Below are 19,283 nucleotides of genomic sequence, written 5' to 3'. Positions count from 1 at the left end.
GTGGCTGGTTGCTGTTTGAGCCAGCTTGGCCTTGACCGGCATGCACAAGTCTCAGTGCAACAACTGTGCTACAAATGGAGCCACAGAGAGGAAATGAGCGGCAGACTTAGGAGCAGGGTGTGCGCTGCCTTTGGGGCTCCAGTCCATGCCTCGGGTCGTATGGCACTGCAGGCTTCTTAGTTGCCAAGAGGCAGACCACAGGCCGTCTTGAGGAGGACTTCATGTTCAAGTGCAGAAGGCAGCCAGGATTACCATCCAAGGGACTCAGCCTTCTGTGGCCCTGTCCAGACTTAGAATTTGTGTCAAGGCAGGAGAAGCTCACTCGGAGCAGCGTGTCAGTACCTGGGGCCTGTGCATGCCAGGCAAGGCCAAGCTGGCTCAAAGAGCAACGAGGCACCTCTTCAAGGGTGCGCCTGGACCAGTTGGACCAGCCACCAACCTCACCCACTGAAGGAAGCAGGGATGGCCAGGTTACAACACCCTGAGTGGCTGCCACCTGGGGGCTGATGGAGGAGAGGCCTGGGGAAAGTCAGATGGCACATTTAACTCTTTAATGGATCTTAAGTTAATTTATCTATAAAGCAGATGTCGCCAGTCCATGCCTCAGGCTTGTATGGCACTGCGGAGCACAGAAGGGCAAGTCCCCTGGGTGGTAATCTTGGCTGCTTTCTGCACTTGAACATAAAGTCCTCCTCAAGACGGCCTGTGGTCTGCCTCTTGGCCCTACCTTTAGGGTAGAAGAACCGATGTACCATGTCCGGCAGCGAGTGAGGTTGGTGGCTGGTCCGACTGCTCCTGGCACACCCTTGCAGATGTGGCTGGTTGCTGTTTGAGCCAGCTTGGCCTTGCCCAGCATGCACAAGCCTCAGTGCAACTACTCTGCTACAAATGGAGCCACAGAGAGGGAATGAGCAGCGGGCTCAGCAGCAGGGTGTGTGCTGCCTTTGGGGCTCCAGTCCATGCCTCAGGGGTCGTATGACACTGTGGGCTTCTTGGTTACCAGGAGGCACACAACAGGCCGTCTCGAGGAGGACTTCATGTTCAAGTGCAGAAAGCAGCCAGGATTACCATCCAGGGGACTCGGCCTTCTGTGGCCCTGGCCAGACTCAGAATTTGTGCCAAGGCAGGACAAGCTCACTCGGAGCAGCGTGTCAGTACCTGGGGCCTGTGCATGCCAGGCAGGGCCAAGCTGGCTCAAAGAGCAACCAGCCACCTCTGCAAAGGTGTGCCAGGAGCAGGTGGACCAGCCACCAACTTCAGCCACTGAAGGAAGCAGGGATGGCCAGGTTCCAAGAGCCTGAGTGGCTGTCTCCTGATGGCTGATGGAGCAGAGGCCTTAGGAAAAGTAGATGGCCCTGTGGCCCTACCTTTAGGGTAGAAGTACTGATGTGCCATGTCCGGTAGCAAGTGAGGTTGGTGGCTGGTGCAGCGGCTCCTGCCGCACCCTTGCAGAAGTGACTGGTTGCTCTTTGAGCCAGCTTGGCCTTGCCTGGCATGCACAAGCCTCAGTGCAACAACAGTGCTACAAATGGAGCCACAGAGAGGAAACGAGTGGCAGACTTAGGAGCAGGGTGTGCGCTGCCTTTGGGGCTCCAGTCCATGCCTCGGGTCCTATGGCACTGCGGGCTTCTTGGTTGCCAAGAGGCAGACCACAGGCTGTCTTGAGGAAGACTTTATGTTGAAGTGCAGAAAGCAGCCAGAATTACCACTCTGGGGACTCGGCCTTCTGTGGCCCTTGCCAGACTTAGAATTTGTGTCAAGGCAGGACAAGCTCACTTGGAGCAGTGTGTTAGTACCTGGGGCCTGTGCATGCCAGGCAAGGCCAAGCTGGCTCAAAGCGGAACCAGCCACCTCTACAAGGGTGAGCCTTGACCAACTGGACCAGCCACCAGCTTCACCCACTGAAGGAAGCCGGGATGGCCAGGTTCCAACAGCCTGAGTGGCTGTCTCCTGATGGCTGATGGAGCAGAGGCCTTAGGAAAAGCAGATGGCCTTGTGGCCCTACCTTTAGGGTAGAAGTACTGATGTGCCATGTCTGGCAGCAAGTGAGGTTGGTGGCTGGTGCACCGGCTCCTGGCGCACCCTTGCAGAGGTGACTGGTTGCTCTTTGAGCCAGCTTGGCCTTGCCTGGCATGCACAAGCCTCAGTGCAACAACAGTGCTACAAATGGAGCCACAGAGAGGAAACAAGCAGCAGGCTCAGGAGCAGGGTGTGCGCTGCCTTTGGGGCTGCAGTCCATGCCTCAGGCGTCATATGGCACTGCGGGCTTCTTAGTTGCCAAGAGGCAGACCACAGGCTGTCTTGAGGAGGACTTCATGTTCAAATGCAGAAAGTAGCCAGGATTAGCATCTAGGGGACTCGGCCTTCTGTGGCCCTGGCCAGACTTAGAATTTGTGTCAAGGCAGGACAAGCTCACTTGGAGCAGTGTGTCAGTAGCTGGGCCTATGCATGCCAGGCAAGGCCAAGCTGGCTCAAAGAGCAACCAGCCACCTCTGCAAGGGTGTGCCAGGAGCAGGTGGACCAGCCAGCAACCTCAGCTACTCAAGGAAGCTGGGATGGCCAGGTTCCAACAGCCTGAGTGGCTGCCTCCTGATGGCTGATGGAGCAGAGGCCTTAGGAAAAGCAGATGGCCCTGTGGCCCTACCTTTAGGGTAGAAGTACTGATGTGCCATGTCCGGTAGCAAGTGAGGTTGGTGGCTGGTGCACCGGTTCCTGGCGCACCCTTGCAGAAGTGACTGGTTGCTCTTTGAGTCAGCTTGGCCTTGCCCGGCATGCACAAGCCTCAGTGCAACAACAGTGCTACAAATGGAGCCATAGAGAGGAAACGAGCAGCAGGCTCAGGAGCAGGGTGTGCGCCGCCTTTGGGGCTCCAGTCCATGCCTCGAGTCATATAGCACTGCGGGCTTCTTGCTTGCCTGGAGGCAGACCACAGGCCGTCTTGAGGAAGACTTTATGTTCAAGTACAGAAAGCAGCCAGGATTACCATCCAGGGGGGCCTTCTGTAGCCGTGGCCAGACCTTGCAGAGGTGGCTGGTTGCTCTTTGAGTCAGCTTGGCCTCCCTGGCATGCACAGGCCCCAGGTACTAACATGCTGCTCCGAGTGAGCTTGTCCTGCCTTGGCTGCCACCTAATTGCTGATGGAGCAGAAGCCTTAGGAAAAGCAGATGGCACTGTGGCCCACCTTTAGGGTAGAAGAACTGATGTACCATGTCCGGCCGCTAGTGGGTGAGTGGTGCACCTGCTCCTGGCACACCCTTGCAGAGGTGGCTGGTTGCTCTTTGAGCCAGCTTGGCCTTCCCTGGCATGCACAAGCCTCAGTGCAACAACTGTGCTACAAACGGAGCCACAGAGAGGAAATGAGCAGCAGGGTCAGGAGCAGGGTGTGCTCTGCCTTTGGGGCTCCAGTCCATGCCTCAGAACTCGTATGGCACTGCAGGCTTCTTGGTTGCCAAGAGTCAGACAACAGGCCATCTTGAGGAGGACTTTATGTTCAAGTGCAGAAAGCAGCCAGGATAACCTTCCAGGGGACTTGGCCTTCTGTGACCCTGGCCAGACTCAGAATTCGTGCCAATGCAGGACAAGCTCACTTGGAGCAGTGTGTCAGTAGCTGGGGCCTATGCATGCCAGGCAGGGCCAAGCTGGCTCAAAGAGCAACCAGCCACCTCTGCAAAGGTGTGCCAGGAGCAGGTGGACCAGCCACCAACTTCAGCCACTGAAGGAAGCAGGGATGGCCAGGTTCCAAGAGCCTGAGTGGCTGTCTCCTGATGGCTGATGGAGCAGAGGCCTTAGGAAAAGTAGATGGCCCTGTGGCCCTACCTTTAGGGTAGAAGTACTGATGTGCCATGTCCGGTAGCAAGTGAGGTTGGTGGCTGGTGCAGCGGCTCCTGCCGCACCCTTGCAGAAGTGACTGGTTGCTCTTTGAGCCAGCTTGGCCTTGCCTGGCATGCACAAGCCTCAGTGCAACAACAGTGCTACAAATGGAGCCACAGAGAGGAAACGAGTGGCAGACTTAGGAGCAGGGTGTGCGCTGCCTTTGGGGCTCCAGTCCATGCCTCGGGTCCTATGGCACTGCGGGCTTCTTGGTTGCCAAGAGGCAGACCACAGGCTGTCTTGAGGAAGACTTTATGTTGAAGTGCAGAAAGCAGCCAGGATTACCACTCAGGGGACTCGGCCTTCTGTGGCCCTGGCCAGACTTAGAATTTGTGTCAAGGCAGGACAAGCTCACTTGGAGCAGCGTGTTAGTACCTGGGGCCTGTGCATGCCAGGCAAGGCCAAGCTGGCTCAAAGCGGAACCAGCCACCTCTACAAGGGTGCGCCTGGACCAGTTGGACCAGCCACCAGCTTCACTCACTGAAGGAAGCCGGGATGGCCAGGTTCCAACAGCCTGAGTGGCTGTCTCCTGTTGGCTGATGGAGCAGAGGCCTTAGGAAAAGCAGATGGCCTTGTGGCCCTACCTTTAGGGTAGAAGTACTGATGTGCCATGTCTGGCAGCAAGTGAGGTTGGTGGCTGGTGCACCGGCTCCTGGCGCACCCTTGCAGAGGTGACTGGTTGCTCTTTGAGCCAGCTTGGCCTTGCCTGGCATGCACAAGCCTCAGTGCAACAACAGTGCTACAAATGGAGCCACAGAGAGGAAACAAGCAGCAGGCTCAGGAGCAGGGTGTGCGCTGCCTTTGGGGCTGCAGTCCATGCCTCAGGTGTCATATGGCACTGCGGGCTTCTTAGTTGCCAAGAGGCAGACCACAGGCCGTCTTGAGGAGGACTTCATGTTCAAGTGCAGAAAGTAGCCAGGATTAGCATCTAGGGGACTCGGCCTTCTGTGGCCCTGGCCAGACTTAGAATTTGTGTCAAGGCAGGACAAGCTCACTCGGAGCAGCATGTTGCTACCTGGGGCCTGTGCATGCCAGGCAAGGCCAAGCTGGCTCAAAGAGCAACCAGTCACCTCTGCAAGGGTGCGCCTGTGGTCTGGAGGGTGGTGGCTCCCTGTGTTAGTCCTCCAAGCCCATATTTTCCTTCTGCACTGGCCTCACAGAGGTTTCCGAAGAAGCTCTGCCTCTGCAGCATGCTTCTGCCTGGAAACAATGGGAGGTAGTTTTGCAGGGTGGAAGCCTTCACCAATGGTTAAGCAGCATCTTCATGATGCTGACCTCGTGATAGTGATTTCTCATGAGATCTGCTTGTATAACATGATGTGGCACCTCTTTCCTCTCTCTGTCTTGCTCCTTCTCCTGCTGTATGAAACATCTCCTTGCCGCTTGGTCTTCTAGTAAGATTGGGAGCACCTGAGTCCTCCCAGAAGCAGAAACTACTATGCTTCCTTTGCAGCCTGCAGAACTGTGAGCCAATGAAACCTCTTTTCTTTTTGATCATACAGAAGGTTAGTACTGTGAAGGGAAGCTATGAAATTCCTTCAAGGTCTTTTCCCTATGAAATGCCTTCAAGGCCTTTTCCCCATTGTCTTGGCAAGCAGCACTCAGCTTCTTTTCATGCAAATATCTGAAGCCTATGTGAATTTTTTCCCTGAAAATGGACTTTTCTTCTTTTACCACATTGCCAGGCTGTGACACAGAGAGCTGATAATGTAGAAGCAGGTTCAGTAGTGGGTAAAAGACAGAGGTCGGGAGAGTTGGGAAAGCTTAAAAGACAGCAAGATGAGGAAAAGCTTGGACCACTGTAGAGAATTGTTAAATACTTGTGATCAGAAGGCTGACAGAAGGATGGACAGTGAAGGCCAGACTTAAAAGTTCTCGGATGAAAACCAGGAATTTCCTGTGAATAGGAGCCAATACTACATTTGATTTGCCCAACAGAGGCTGCACAGTGACCTTGCCCTGGAGATCTGTGAAACTATGAACTTGGGGGTGATGATTTAGGATGTATCTTGTGGAATGAACATCTGAGCAGCATAGCTCAAGAGGTGTCCTGTCTGCGTCGAACAGCCTGTGTTGTTATGTATGAGCTAAGAAATGACCTCAAGTTGGAACTTCTACTTAAATGAGAAGCGGAGCTTAAAAGTTTGGAAAATTTGCAGCCTAGTCAAGTGGTCAAAAAGAAAAGCTGATTTTCAGGGGGAAAATTCAATACGGCTTAGAGTATTTGCATAAAAAGGAGCTTAGTGCAAGTATCCAAGACAAAGGGTAAAAGGCCTTGGAGGCATTTCAGAGACCTTTGCAGTAGCCCTTGCTCTCACAGGCCCTGGGGCCTAACAGAGAAGAATGGCTTCCTGGGCCAGCTCCATGGCCCTGCTGCTGTGTGCATCCTCAGGACACTGCTGCCTGCATCCCTGCAGCCCCAGCTCCAGCCATGGCTGAATGATGCACAGGTACAGCTTGGGTCACTACTTCAGATGTGGCTCCAAGCCTTGATGGCTTCCACATAGTGTTAAGGCAGCAGGTGAAGAGAGCAAGAGACTAGAGGCTTTGGAGCCTCTTGTCTGGACTCCAGAGGATGTAGAGAAAAGCCTGGGTGTCCAGGCAGTAGCCTTTCCAAGAGGCTCATGGAAAACCTCTGCTAGGGCAGCAAAGAAGGGCCATGTAGGGTTGAAGCCCCCTCACAGGGAGGCTCCATTCTCCAAACCCCAGATTCATAGACCCACCAACATCTTGCACCCTCAGTGTGGAAAAGCTACAGGCATTCAAAACAGCCCTGTCCATGAGAGGCAGCTGTGGGTGCTGAACGCTGCGAAGCCACAGGTACAGATCTGCCCAAGGCCTTGGGAGCCCAGCCCTCACAGCCCTGTGCCATGGATGTGGGACGAGGATTCAAAAAGGATGATTTTGGAGCTGTCGGATTGAATGACTGGCCTGCTGGGTTTTGGATGTTCATGTATCCTGTGAGTCCCATCTGTGTTTTGTTTTTCTTTCTGGCATTTTTTTTCTACTGGCTGGGAATGCTTACCCATTGCATGTACAATCATTGTGCCTTGGAATTAGTTAACTTGCTTTATAATTCAGAAACTCAGGGGCAGATCGGACTGTAGCCTTGTCTCAGACGAGACTTTGGGCTTTGGACATTTGAGTAAATGCTGGAATTATTTAAGATTTGGGGGACTGTAGGGAAGGTATCATTGTATTCTGCAATGTAAGAAACAGGAGATTTGGGGGACCAGGGACAGAATAATATGATTTGGCTCTGTGTCCCTACCAAAGCTCATGTGGAATTGTAATGGGCAAAGTTAAAGGTGGGGACTGGTGGAAGGTGATTTAATCATGGTGGAGAGTGGAGTTTGGAAGGTGGGGGTGGTTGGGAGCATTGGGGGGGATTGTGTTGGGGTTGCGGGGAAAAGCAGAGGTGGGGGGCAGATTCTTCACAAATGGTTAAACACCATCTTTGTAATGCTGTCCTTCTGATAGTGAGTTTGCTTCATGGTTTAGGAGCTTTGAGATTTGAATACTGGCCTGCTGGGTTTTGGACGTGCATTGGGCCTGTGGTCCCATTTGTGTTATTTTTCTGGGAAATTTCTTCCCTTTGGAGTGAGAAAGCTTACCCAATGCCTGTACCATCATCGTACCTTAAAAGAACTCCATTTTAAGTTCAGGGACTCCTTGGCAGAAGAGACCGTAGCCTTGTATCAGGTAAGACTTTGAACTTCTTACATTTGAGTTAATGCTGGAATGAGTTAAGGCTTTTGTAAACATTTGAAAAGGCATGACTGTATTTTACTCTGTGAGAATGACATGAGATTCGGGGGAGGGGGTCAAGGTCAGAATAATATGGTTTGGCTGTGTTTCCCTAGAAAAACTCATGTGGAATTGCAATCCCGAATGTTGGAGGTGGAGCCTGGTGGGAGGTGATTTAATCATGGATGGGAGGTGGGTGGGGTTGGAGGGAAAAAGAGGTGGGTAGCGTGGTGAGGAGTAAGCTCGCTGTAGGGTGGTGGGAGGGTGGGGGTAGTAGGAAGGAGGAGTAGCCTGCTGCAGAGGCAGAGGCTCGTGGAAAACCTCTGCTAGGACTGTGCACCTGTGGCTTTGCAGGGTGTAGCCCCCGTGGCTGCTCTCATGGGCTGGGCTGGTGTTGAGTGCCGGTAGCTTTTCCATACTGAAGGTGCGAGCTGTTGATGGGTCTATGAATCTGGGCTCTGGAGGATGGTGGCCTCCTGCATAGGGGCTCCAAGCCCAAATTTTTCTTCTGCACTGCCATAGTACAGGTTTTCCAAGAGGCTCAGGCTCTGCCTCAGGCTTCTGTCCGGAAACAGGAGGGGGTGGAGGTGGGTTGGGGACGGATCCTTCACTAATGATTAAGCACCATCTTCTTGATGCTGACCTCGTGATAGTGAGTTCTCATGAACTTCCTCATAGTGTTAAGCCACTGGTTGGATGGAGCATGAGCCTAGGGGCTTGGGAGGCTCTGTATAGATTTTGGAGGATGTATGGAAATGTCTGGGTGTCTAGGCAAAAGCCTTCCTAAAAGGCAGAACCTCATAAGAAACCTCTACTAGGGCAGTGCAGAAGGAAAATATGGGGTTGGAGCCCCCACACTGGAGGCCACCATCATGAAGACCGCAGATTAATACACCCCGCAACAGCTTGTACCGTCAGTGGGTAAAAGCTACAGGCGCTCAACACCAGCCCAGCCCATGAAGACAGCCGTGGGGTATAAACCCTGCAAAGCCACAGGTGCAGAGCTGCCCAAGGCCTTGGGAGCCCAGCCCTTACATCCCTGTGCCCTGGATGTGGGACAAGGTTTCAAAAAGGGTAATTTTGGAGCTGTAGGATTGAGTGACTGGCCTTCTGGGTTTGGAGTTTCATGGGGCCTGTGAGTCCTTTCTGTGTTTTGTTCTTTCTGGCAAAATTATTCCTTTTGGCTGGGAATGCTTACCCATTGCCTGTATAAGCATTGTACCTTGGAAGTAGTTAACTTTCTTTATATTTCAGAGGCTCATGAGCCTAAGGGTCTGCAGCCTTGTGTTAGATGAGACTTTAAGCTTTGAACATTTGTATAAATGATGAAATGATATAAGACTTTGGGGGACTGTAGGGAAGCTATCATTGTAGTTTGCAATGTGAGAAGGACATGAGATTTGGGGAGCCAGGGAGAGAATAATAAAATTTAGCTCTGTGTCCCTACCAAAATTCGTGTGGAATTGTAATGGGGAATGTTAAAGGTGGGGCCTGGTGGAAGGTGATTTAATCATGGTGGAGAGTGGGGGTTGGGAGGTGGGGGATAGGGAGAATGGGGAGATTATGTTGGGGGTGAGGGGTGAAAAGTGATGGTGGCTCCTTCACAAATGATTAGACACAATCTCCTTATTTCTGTCCTTGTGATGGTGAGTTCTCTTCATGATTTTGGAGCAGTGAGATTGAATGGATACTGGTCTCCTGGGTTTTGGACTTGCATTGGTCCTGTGGTCCCATCTGTGTTATTTTGCTGGGAAATTTCTTCCCGTTGGACTGAGAAAGCTTACCCAATGGGTGTACCATCATTGTGTCTTAAAAGAACACCCTTTTAAATTCAGGGACTTATAGGCAAAAGGGACTGTAGGCTTGTCTCAGATGAGACGTTGAACCTTTTACATTTGAGTTAATGCTGGAATGAGTTAAGACTTTTGGCAACTTTTGAAAAGGTGTGATTGTATTTTGCTCTGTGAGAAGGACATGAGATTCAGAGGGGTCAGGGTCAGAATAACATGGTTTGGCTGTGTTTCCCTACAGAAACTCATGTGAATTGTAATCTTGAATGTTGGAGATGGGGCCTGGTGGAAGGTGATTTAACCATGGATGGGAGGGGGTTGGAGTTGGAAGGAAATAAAGTGGATAGTGTTGGGAGGAGTGGGTTGTCAGTAGGGTGGTGAGAGGATGGTGGGTATTAGGAAGCGGGAGTAGCCTGCTGCAGAGTCACATCCTCATGGAAAACCTCTGCTAGGGCAGTGCTCCTGTGGCTTTGCAGGCTTTAGCCCCCATGGCTGCTCTCATGGGCTGGGCTGGTGTTGAGTGCTTTTGCATACTGAGGGTGCGGGCTGTTGGTGGGCTTATGAATCTGGGGTCTGGAGGATGGTGGCCTCCTGTGTGGGGGCTCCAAGCCCATATTTCCCTTCTGCACTGCCATAGTAGAAGTTTCCCAAGAGGCTCTGCCTCTGCAGGAGGCTTCTGCCTGGAAACAGTAGGCGGTGGTGTGTGTGGTGGATCCTTCACCAGTGGTTAATCTTCTTGATGCTGATCTGATAGTGAGTTCTCATGTGATCTGGTTGTATAATGGGCTGTGGCACCTCTTTTCTCTCTGTGTCTTGCTTCTATTTCTGCCATATGAAACATCTCATTGCCACTTGGCCTTCTGATGTGGTTAGGAGGGGCCTGATCAGTGTGGGCCTGCTCAGTGGACCTAGTCAGTTGGGACTTGGTCAGTGAGGCCTGTTTAGTGGGAGCCTGGCCAGCAGGGGTCTGCTTAGGGAGGGTCTCATTAGGGGGATCCAGTAGTGGGGGTTTTGGCGAGTGGGGACCTATTGGCAGCCAGTTGTTTGGTGTCTGGTCAGTGCAGACCTGGGCTGTGGGGCTTGACCAGTGGCGACCTGGTCAGCTGGGCTTAGTGGTGGCCTGGTCAGCATGGGCTGGGTCACTGGTGACCAGGTCAAGGGCTGCTATTCAGTGGAGGACTAGTCACATGGGACCTAGTCAGCAGGGCCTGGTGGGCTTGTCCTCATCAGTGAGGCCCTTGTCAGTGGGGCCCTGATCAGGGCAGCCTGGTCAGTGGAACCTCATCAGTGGGGGCCTGGTCAGTGATGACTTGGTCAGTGGTGGCTTTTGTACCACTGGTCTACGGGGTGACCTGGTCAGCGGGGACCTGAGCAGTCGGTGCCTGTTCAGTGGGGCCTACTCACTAGGGTCCCAGTCAGGGGCATCTGGTCACCTCAGGCCTGGTTAGTAGGGGCCTGATCAGTGGCAGCCTGTTCCCTGGAGGCCTGGTCAGTGGGGCCTCATCTGTGGGGCCAGGTAGTGGGGTCATGATCAGTGGAATCTGATCAGTGATGCCTTGTCAGTAATGACCTTGTCAGTGAGGCCTTGTCAGTGGGGCCTTGTCAGTAAGGACCTGGTCAGTGAGGCCTTGTCAATAAGGTCCTGATCAGTGAGGTCTCAGTTAGGACCTGGTCCATGAGGCCTTGTCAGTGAGGCCTTGTCAGTAAGGACCTGGTCAGTGAGGCCTTGTCAATAAGGTCCTGGTCAGTGAGGACTTGTCAGTAAGGACCTGGTCCGTGAGGCCTTGTCAATAAGGTCCTGGTCAGTGAGGACTTGTCAGTAAGGAGCTCATCCATGAGGCCTTGTCAATAAGGTCCTGGTCAGTGAGGCCTTGTTAGTAAGGACTTTGTCAGTGAGGCCTTGTCAGTGAGGCCTGGTCAGTAAGGACCTGGTCAGTGAGGCCTTGTCAGGGAGGCCTGGTCAGTAAGGTCCTGTTCAGTGAGGCCTTGTCCATGAGGCCTTGTCAGTAAGGTCCTGGTCAGTGGAGTCATGGTCATTGTTGGCCTGGAAGCAGGGGTCTTGTTAGTGGGTCCTGGTGATGGGGATCTAATCAGTGAGGGTGTGGTCAGGGAAGACCTGATGTGTGGGGTCTGGTCAGCAGGAACCTGGTCAGTGGGGACTGCTGAGTGCTGCTTGGAGAAGCCAGGTGCATTGCACGTTATCAAGGGCCCTCTGGACAGCTGGGATGGCCCAGTGATGCCCAACGGCCTGGTCAAAAGTGGACAAAGCAGTTGTTTGGATGGACCTGGGAGATGTTGCTCAGAGATTCTGACAGGACAAAGGTGAAGAAAGGGTCAGAGTGTCTGGAGAGATGGTCACAGTCTATGGGCTGCACAGGATGGAGAAAGCCAGGGAACAGGCAGGGTGGGCAGTGCGGTGCAGGGAGAGGTAGGTGCATGGTGGGACGTCAGACCCTGTGAAGGCTGTGAGGGTGTCAGGTGGGTTGGGCTCCAGGTGCACCCTCAGTGCACTGGGTGGGTCTCACCCCAAGCTCCCTGGACCCCAGCCAGGTGATGTGGTCACTCCCTGGGGGACTGCTCTCAGGTCCCGGCTACCTACCCTGGGCAGCGCTGTCCCATCTCAGGACTGGACTTCCTCAGATCCTGTAGAGGGCACAGCCTCCACCCAGGAGGGGCAACCCCATGGTGCAGCCTGAGCTCTCCATGGGCCTGGAGCATCCCCTGCCAGCCTTGTGCTCCCCATTCTCCCAGGTCCCACTTTTCCAGTGTCAGCCAGCAGGGATGCCCCGTCCTCCCTTCCCCATGTGTCTCCTGGGCTGAAACTTGTGGCAGATTGGGACAGGGATGGTGCTTCCCTCAGGCCCATTTGGGGAGGGGACTGGCTCCCAGACTGGTGCAGGTCCTCAGCTCTGCCTCGATTGGCTTAGAGTGAGATGGATCAGTCAGTTCCCTGAAGGTGAAGATAAGAGACTGTCCCTGCTGTTGGGAGGCTAGTCTAGGGATGGAGGACGTAACAGGTCCTCCCAGGCTGTCAGGCCTGGGCAGCACTGTCTTGTCTTAGGACTCAGAAAGTCCAGTCCTGAGATGAGACAGTGCTGCCCAGGGTGGGTGTCTGGGACCTGACAACATTCCCCCAGTGATTGACCACATCACACATCCAGGGTCCAGTGAGCCTGGCCTCAGACGTGCCCAGTACACTGAAGGTGCACCTGGAGCCCGCTCCACCTGATGCCTCCACAGCCCTCGCAGGGCCTGACCTCCCAGCATGCACCTGCCTCTCCCTGCACCCCAGCTGTCCACCATGCCTGTTCCCTGACTTCCTCCATCCTGTCCAGCGGGATGGGATGGACATGGGGACAGCCTGTGTGCACATTTCGTGGCGAGTGGGAGTGACACACCATCTCTGGGAGGCACCATGGTTCCTGGCAAACCCGATCCCAAGACTCTGTCCTTGAGGTGGTTTTACCAAACCCCAAACCCAGAACTGCAGTTGTGGCTCAGGGGTCAGCTCCTGCTAGTGCCAGGACACTACTGGGAGGCTGGGACCCGACCAAAGCCCATGGTGCCTCTGGCCTGAGGACAAGGTGTCTTGGGACCATAAGGCCAGCCCACCAATGGCCATTGGGGGCTGAGCCCCAAATCATAGGGGCTCAGCCCCAATCTTTGTCCTTCCCTGGCTCTTTCTGGTTCAGTCCCATCAGGGCCCTGGATCCCAAGACTCAGCATCCAAGGTCCCCTCCAGGAATCCTGGCAGCTCAGCATACTTTATTCTGTTTCATCTGAGAGCAAAAATGTAAAATTGGATGCACAGAAAAGTGACTCAAAGTGCTTAATGACTAGAAGAAATCTAGGAGCAGCAAGAAGGTAATGTGGAGGGAGGGACCTCCATGACCGGTGTCTGCAGAGCCAGGGGTACAGGCACCCAGTGCTGTGGCCTGGCACCACCTGCATCTCAGAGGGTGGGTGGCACACTCCTTACCCAGAGGACAGCAGGCCTGGTCACCAGCTTTTCTACCTGTCCCTGTAAGCATCACATTGCTGGAGGAAAATCTCATGCCAGAGCTTGGACCATCCCTAGCTCAGGGGTTAGGGGTTGTCCCTTGGTGACCTAAATGAAAAAACAGGTCCAGAACAGAGTTCCTGATGCTGGACACTCATTCAGTCTTTGAATCGTGGGAGGGGAGGCCTGGTACTAGGTAGACCTAACCTCTTTGAGGAACCACAGAGCCCAAGGCTGGAAACCTCCAGAATCCTCCACCCCCTGATCCTCCCTGGGGACCCCTGTGGCCTGTCTCACTGAGCACTCTTCCATCTGTAGATGTCTGGGCTGCTGTACAAGGGAGTCCCCTTTCAGGTGTGGTGCTAGACATGGTCACTCCTGCTGGATGTCTAGGTGGTAGAAACCAAGGACCTAGGGAAATACCAGGTACAGCCTTTCCATGCTCATCCAGAGCAGGACAAACAGGCCAGGCGGTGTCAGGAGCCCAGGTCTCCAGCTGGAGGGAACGTCAACCCTTCGGTGGGAGCAGGGGCCCTTTGCACATCCTAGGCACAGATGGTAATGTAGACACCGCAGGTAAGCTGGGCTTGGTACCTACCCCTCCCCGGATTCAGAAAGAAACCAAACAAGGAGCTTTGTGCGGAATGAAACCTCCTTTCCTCCCAGAAGCACTGCTGACTGTTTGGTGGTTGCCATTTGTGGCAGTGAGCCTTTGTTTGTTCTGAGGTTGGGCTGGTTTCTCCTCTTGGCCCTGCCCTACAGATCATAAAGGAGAAGAGCAAGAGGTCCCCAGCAAACATCCACAGATGGCCTTGGAAATAAGTCACCTTGTGAGAAGCATGTCATGTTCTGGGAGGGATAAGGCATCAAGTAAGGCCTATGGGGTTGGAGGATCCCTGGGCAGGTGGGGCAATCCTTGGAGTCTTCCCATGGGAATAGGGAGGTCCTGAGGCAGAGGCAGGGGTTCCACAGGAGGAGTCACAGAGCTACCAAAGGCTCTCCTGTGCCAGGAAGCAGTCAACACCATGAACTGAACACCTGCTGGGCTCCAAGCCCTGGTCCAGGCTGGGGCATGTGGGGCCAGGAGGCAGCTCAGAGAGGGAGGCAGAGAGAAGTGTGCTGAGAGGGCACCCATTTCTGGGTGTAATGTGGTCCAGAGATTTTGGCTGGGAAGGGCTTCCAGAGTTTCATATGTGTTACGGAGCTGCTTCCTCTCCCTAGCCTCACCCTGCAGGAATGCCAGTGAACTTATTGCTGACATCTTGGAGCTCAGTACCCTCATAGTGTAACGGCGTCAGCAGATCTGCCTGTGCTGGGACTTCCTGTACTACCCATTCCTGAGGGGCGATGCTTCTGCAGGGCCTGTGACTTGGTGCACAACTTCAGACACCATCATCTTGCAGCAGCACCGCACCCTCACTAGCCAGGGTGTTGATGACTTCCTCAAGGCCAAGGCCACATTCAAGGCTTCGGACTTCATTGATGCGCTTGTGCTGAGCAAGGTGGCTTCTCCGGGATCTTAATTCAGGAGGTAGAATGGAGCTTGAGATCAAGTGTCTGATCAAGGTACTTGAACTTGATCTGGAGGGCTCTGGGGAGCCATGGAAGATGCTGGATAAAGGAGTGACAGTCAGCTATGTTTTCGAGATGACTGTAGAAGCCTGCCTGGAAGGAGTGAACAAGAGCCAGGAGACCAGGGAGGGAGCTTGTGGGGCAGGTCTGGAGATGGCGAGGGAGGGATCCTGCTTGGATGAAAGGTCTTCAGGGACTGTCTCAGGTTACACACAGGTGTCCTCAGAGCTAGTGTGTTCAGAGTCTTGCCTCCAGGATGAAAATGGGAAGGAGTTGTCAGACGAGGACATATAAATGGAGGCTGGCATATTCATGAGTGCTGGTGGTGGTCCCGGTGTGGGACTACTGTGGGAACAGGGGTCTCTCCATCCAGGGATATGATGGATGGACCCTACATCACTCCATTCTGCCCTTCCTTTCCCTCCTCCCATTCTCCCGAAAGCCTCAGTGTATGGGCGCTGTTCATCCTCTGGTGCTGAAGCAGCCAAGAGACCCAAGTCTGCCTGGCTGCCTCTTAGGATATGACAGCAGAGCCAGTGGCCTCTACTAGATCCTGTACAACCTCACAAAACACCCAGACATCGGGAGTGCTGCCAGCCTGTGATGCAAGAGTCCTAATCCTGAAGACATTGAATGGTGGGTGCAGGGCCTCATGGCCTGTTCCCCAGCCCCTCTCATTGGCTCTGCTCCGGGTGGTGAAGGGGGAAAATGTTTTTGTCAATTCTGTCATGATTGCCTAGCAAGAAAAGGAGCAGAACCCAGAAGCAGTAAAATCAGTTAGTAAAATCAGTTTTCTTTTCTGAACTACATTTCTGCCATCTCTAATTGAGGGGAATTCCTTCGACTCCACGAGGTTGCTTGGAGAATGACTGACAGTGTATGTAGAGCAGGTGCCAGCCAGCAGGCGTTTGGTGTCCAGACCACTCTTCCCCCTTGATTTTCTGCCTATATTTTCATTTTGTTCCCAAGACCCTCACTCCCCTTAATTTTGCTTTTCCCTCTGATTCCCACCTTATCTTCTTTCCCATGGATTCACCAGGATGTAAGTGGGTAACAGTCATCTATGCATGTATGTGTATGTATGTATGTTCTCTGTTGGTGTTGGAGTATGGTGTGTGTGTGTGAGAGAGAAAGAATGTGTGTGTGTGTGTGTGTGTGTGAGAGAGAGAGAATGTGTGTGTGTGTGTGTGTGTGTGTGTGTGTGTGTGTGTGTGTGTGTTGGGGTCACTGAGGGACTGAAACTCTCCACACCAGGCTGTGGTCCTGCTCACTGCTGGAGGCGCTGTCAGGGCTCTTGCCATTGACCCTCCAGGTCTCATTCTTGCAGTGCAGGCAGGGCATTCTGGAGGAATCATGTCCTTGGAAGAAGCCCTGAGGAGTGACTGGTGTGTATTGGTGGATAAATAACCCAGCTCCCTTGCTCTGGGTGGGATGACTCTGAGGCACATGTTCTATGCTGTCTCTCAGAGGTACCCGGCAGGGCTGAGTCCTGGCTGCCCACAGTGGAAACTTTCTTGATGAAGGTCCCTTTAACTGCTACATTCCATTCCTGTCTCAGTTCCCCACTCCTCTACTGGTGTTGCCTGCAATTAGTACTCTAAGGAAGAACTGGCAGTAGAATTACTGTCCTGGAGTCATCTCCAGATAAAATTTTTATACTTGAATCTTTGCCTCAGGATCTACTTCCAGGAAACTTAAACTAAGACACACATTTTTCTTTCCTCCAATCTTCATAGACCTGTCATTCTGCTGTTTTTACCAAAAAGGATCATGAGGATCAGAGAGGAAAAGTCATTTGCCCAAAGTCACACAGCTGAACAGTGGTGGAGTTCAACTTTGACCGTGGGCTGTCTGGCCCCAAGGTGTATGCTTGCTTCTCTCCCAAGAGACAACTTTCTTATCAGGCTCAAATGAATGAAAGGAGGATGTTAAAGGTAGGATCTCTGAAGCCTGTGCCAGTGGAACCGCAGCTCATGGCTGGCACCTGTGTTCTCATTCTTACCTCATTAAGAGTAAAGTTTATTGAGTTTATTGAATTTAAGTATCTTTAGTGAGATCATATATTATTAGTAAGAACTGGGACCAAACAGATTTTCTGACTCTAAAAGAGAGATTTTCACAGAAACAGATATATACCTGTAAGTATACAGACACGCATACACACATTTCTTTACTGCTCATAAAAATTAGTCCTTATTAGAATGTGGGATGTATAAATGTAAGAGAATTTTCATGTTAAAATTGACAGATACATTTTTAAATTGTCCTAAAATAAATTTAATTATTTTCCTTTTAGAATTTTCCATTATTAATGTTATTTTTATGAGAAACTATATAACTTTATTGATAATACATACAATAACCCTTTGTTTTTCAAATTGAAAATACAGTGTATTTTGCAAATAACTAAGTCCTAATTTTGTATTAAAATTTTAAATTTTCAATCTTTTTTATTATTATATTTTAAGTTCTGGGATACATGTGGAGAACGTGCAGGTTTGTTACATAGGTATACACATGACATGGTAGTTTGCTGCACCCATCAACCTCTCATCTACATTAGGCACTCATCTACATTCGGTGCTACATTATGATGTGGAGAAATAGGAACGCTTTTACACTGTTGGTGGGAGTGTAAATTAGTTCAACCATTGTGGAAGACAGTGTAGTGATTCCTCAAGGATCCAGAACCAGAAATACATCTGACCCAGCAATCCCATTACTGGGTATATACCCAAAGGATTATAAATCATTCTACTATAAAGACACATGCGCACATATGTTTATTGCGGCACTGTTCCCAATAGCAAAGACTTGAAACCAACCCAAATCCCCATCAGTGATAGACTGGATAAAGAAAATGTGGCACCTATACACCATGGAATACTCTGCAGCCATAAAAAAGGATGAGTTCATGTCCTTTGCAGGAACATAGATGAAGCTGGAAGTCATCATTCTCAGCAAACGAACACAGAAACAGAAAAACAAACACCACATGTTCTCACTCATAAGTGGGAGCTGAACAATGAGAACAAATGGACACAGGGAGGGGAACATCACATACCAGAACCTGTCAGTGGGTGGGGGGCTAGGGGAGTGGGGGAGGGATAGCATTAGGGGATTTAATAATTTTAAAATTCAATTCTGTTGAAATGTTTACTCCAAGAAGCAATGTGTTTTTGAGAGCTAATCCTGATATATTCAAATCTTAACGACTTAAGTTGATGGAGTGGACTTCTTTTAAATTAGTGATTCCCTAATTTACCTGACAGTTGGAATTTCCAGGCCATGTTGAAAATACAGATTATCCAGACTCTTACCTCTGCAGATGTATTTAGTGGTTCTAAAATGGCACCCAGGAGTCTGGATTTTTCCCAGGGGCCTTGTGTAATTCACACTGATGACCAGGCAAGTTTGGGAAATTGTGCCTTAAGGAGACTTTTCATTAAGCAGTCTTCATTTGAAAAGAGGATCATTTATCTTCTAATACCCCATGCTTCCTCTTTCTCCTGCTCTCTTTGTCTCCTGTTGTCTTTCAGTTCCTAGAAGCTTTAATTGAATGAAAGTTCCTAGTAGATCTGTACCTACTAAAAACCACACTTCTGAAGCTACGTGGCCACCAGAAGACACAGCTAGTCTGCCATGTAAAAAAGGAAAGGTGGCGTGTGCCCTGAAGGTGCAGGGGTGAGAGGCAGGGAAATGGAGACCCCAACAGCCAGCAGCAGTGGCCCTCATCACAGCCCTCCAGGAGATATCAAAGGAGGTCAGACCTTGGACAGTAGTCTTGACTTCCTGCTATAGAACACATTGTTAACACTGAAAAAGATGATCTGTTCTAGGGGAATGGTGAAAGCTGACTCTAGCACTTGTACTTTTTGTTTGTTTGTTTGAGATTGAGTCTTGCTCTTGTTTCCCAGGCTACAGTGCAATGCGTGATCTCAGCTCACTGCAGGCTCTGCCTCCTGGGTTCCAGCTATTGTCCTGCCTCAGCCTCCCGAGTAGCTGGGATTCCAGGTGCCCGCAAGTGTGCCTGGCTAATTTTTATGTTTTTAGTAGAGATGGGATTTCGCCATGTTGGCCAGGCTGTTCTCCAACTCCTGACCTTGGCCAAAGTGTTGGGATTACAGGCATAAGCCATTGTGCCCGGCCTGTGTTTTTAATTTCATAGTGGCACAGCTTCAAAATGACATCTAAGTAGCTGACATAAAAATGAAAATTCTGTGTACTTTGATATTAGCAGGCTTCAAATACAAACCAGAATATGAGTAAATTGTTTCTTAACCAAACTGAATAATTTTCACATT

At 51.5% G+C, this 19,283-nt stretch overlaps 1 pseudogene across 1 annotated transcript, besides 1 other annotated feature; it reads left to right on the top strand.

Annotated features, from left to right (window-relative positions):
• Positions 5,931-6,430: an enhancer, noted in NCBI's record as "H3K4me1 hESC enhancer chr2:131206043-131206542 (GRCh37/hg19 assembly coordinates)". NCBI's record gives its function as "activates a minimal SCP1, AML or CMV promoter by ChIP-STARR-seq in primed H9 embryonic stem cells {active_cell/tissue: H9 hESC(primed)}" and the evidence as "EXISTENCE:reporter gene assay evidence [ECO:0000049][PMID:30033119]".
• On the top strand, positions 13,219-19,238 carry CYP4F62P (cytochrome P450 family 4 subfamily F member 62, pseudogene; annotated as a pseudogene). The gene is made up of 5 exons (NR_103761.1): positions 13,219-14,237; positions 14,629-14,909; positions 15,422-15,615; positions 16,716-16,913; positions 18,519-19,238. The product of NR_103761.1 is annotated as a cytochrome P450 family 4 subfamily F member 62, pseudogene (transcript).
• Positions 19,239-19,283: the final 45 nt, after the last annotated feature.

The sequence above is a fragment of the Homo sapiens genome, chromosome 2 (assembly GCF_000001405.40).
Source record: "Homo sapiens chromosome 2, GRCh38.p14 Primary Assembly".
Taxonomy (NCBI): Eukaryota; Metazoa; Chordata; class Mammalia; order Primates; family Hominidae; genus Homo; species Homo sapiens.
The sequence above is the reverse complement of the archived record's forward strand: the minus strand, read 5'-3'. Positions and strand labels throughout refer to the sequence as shown.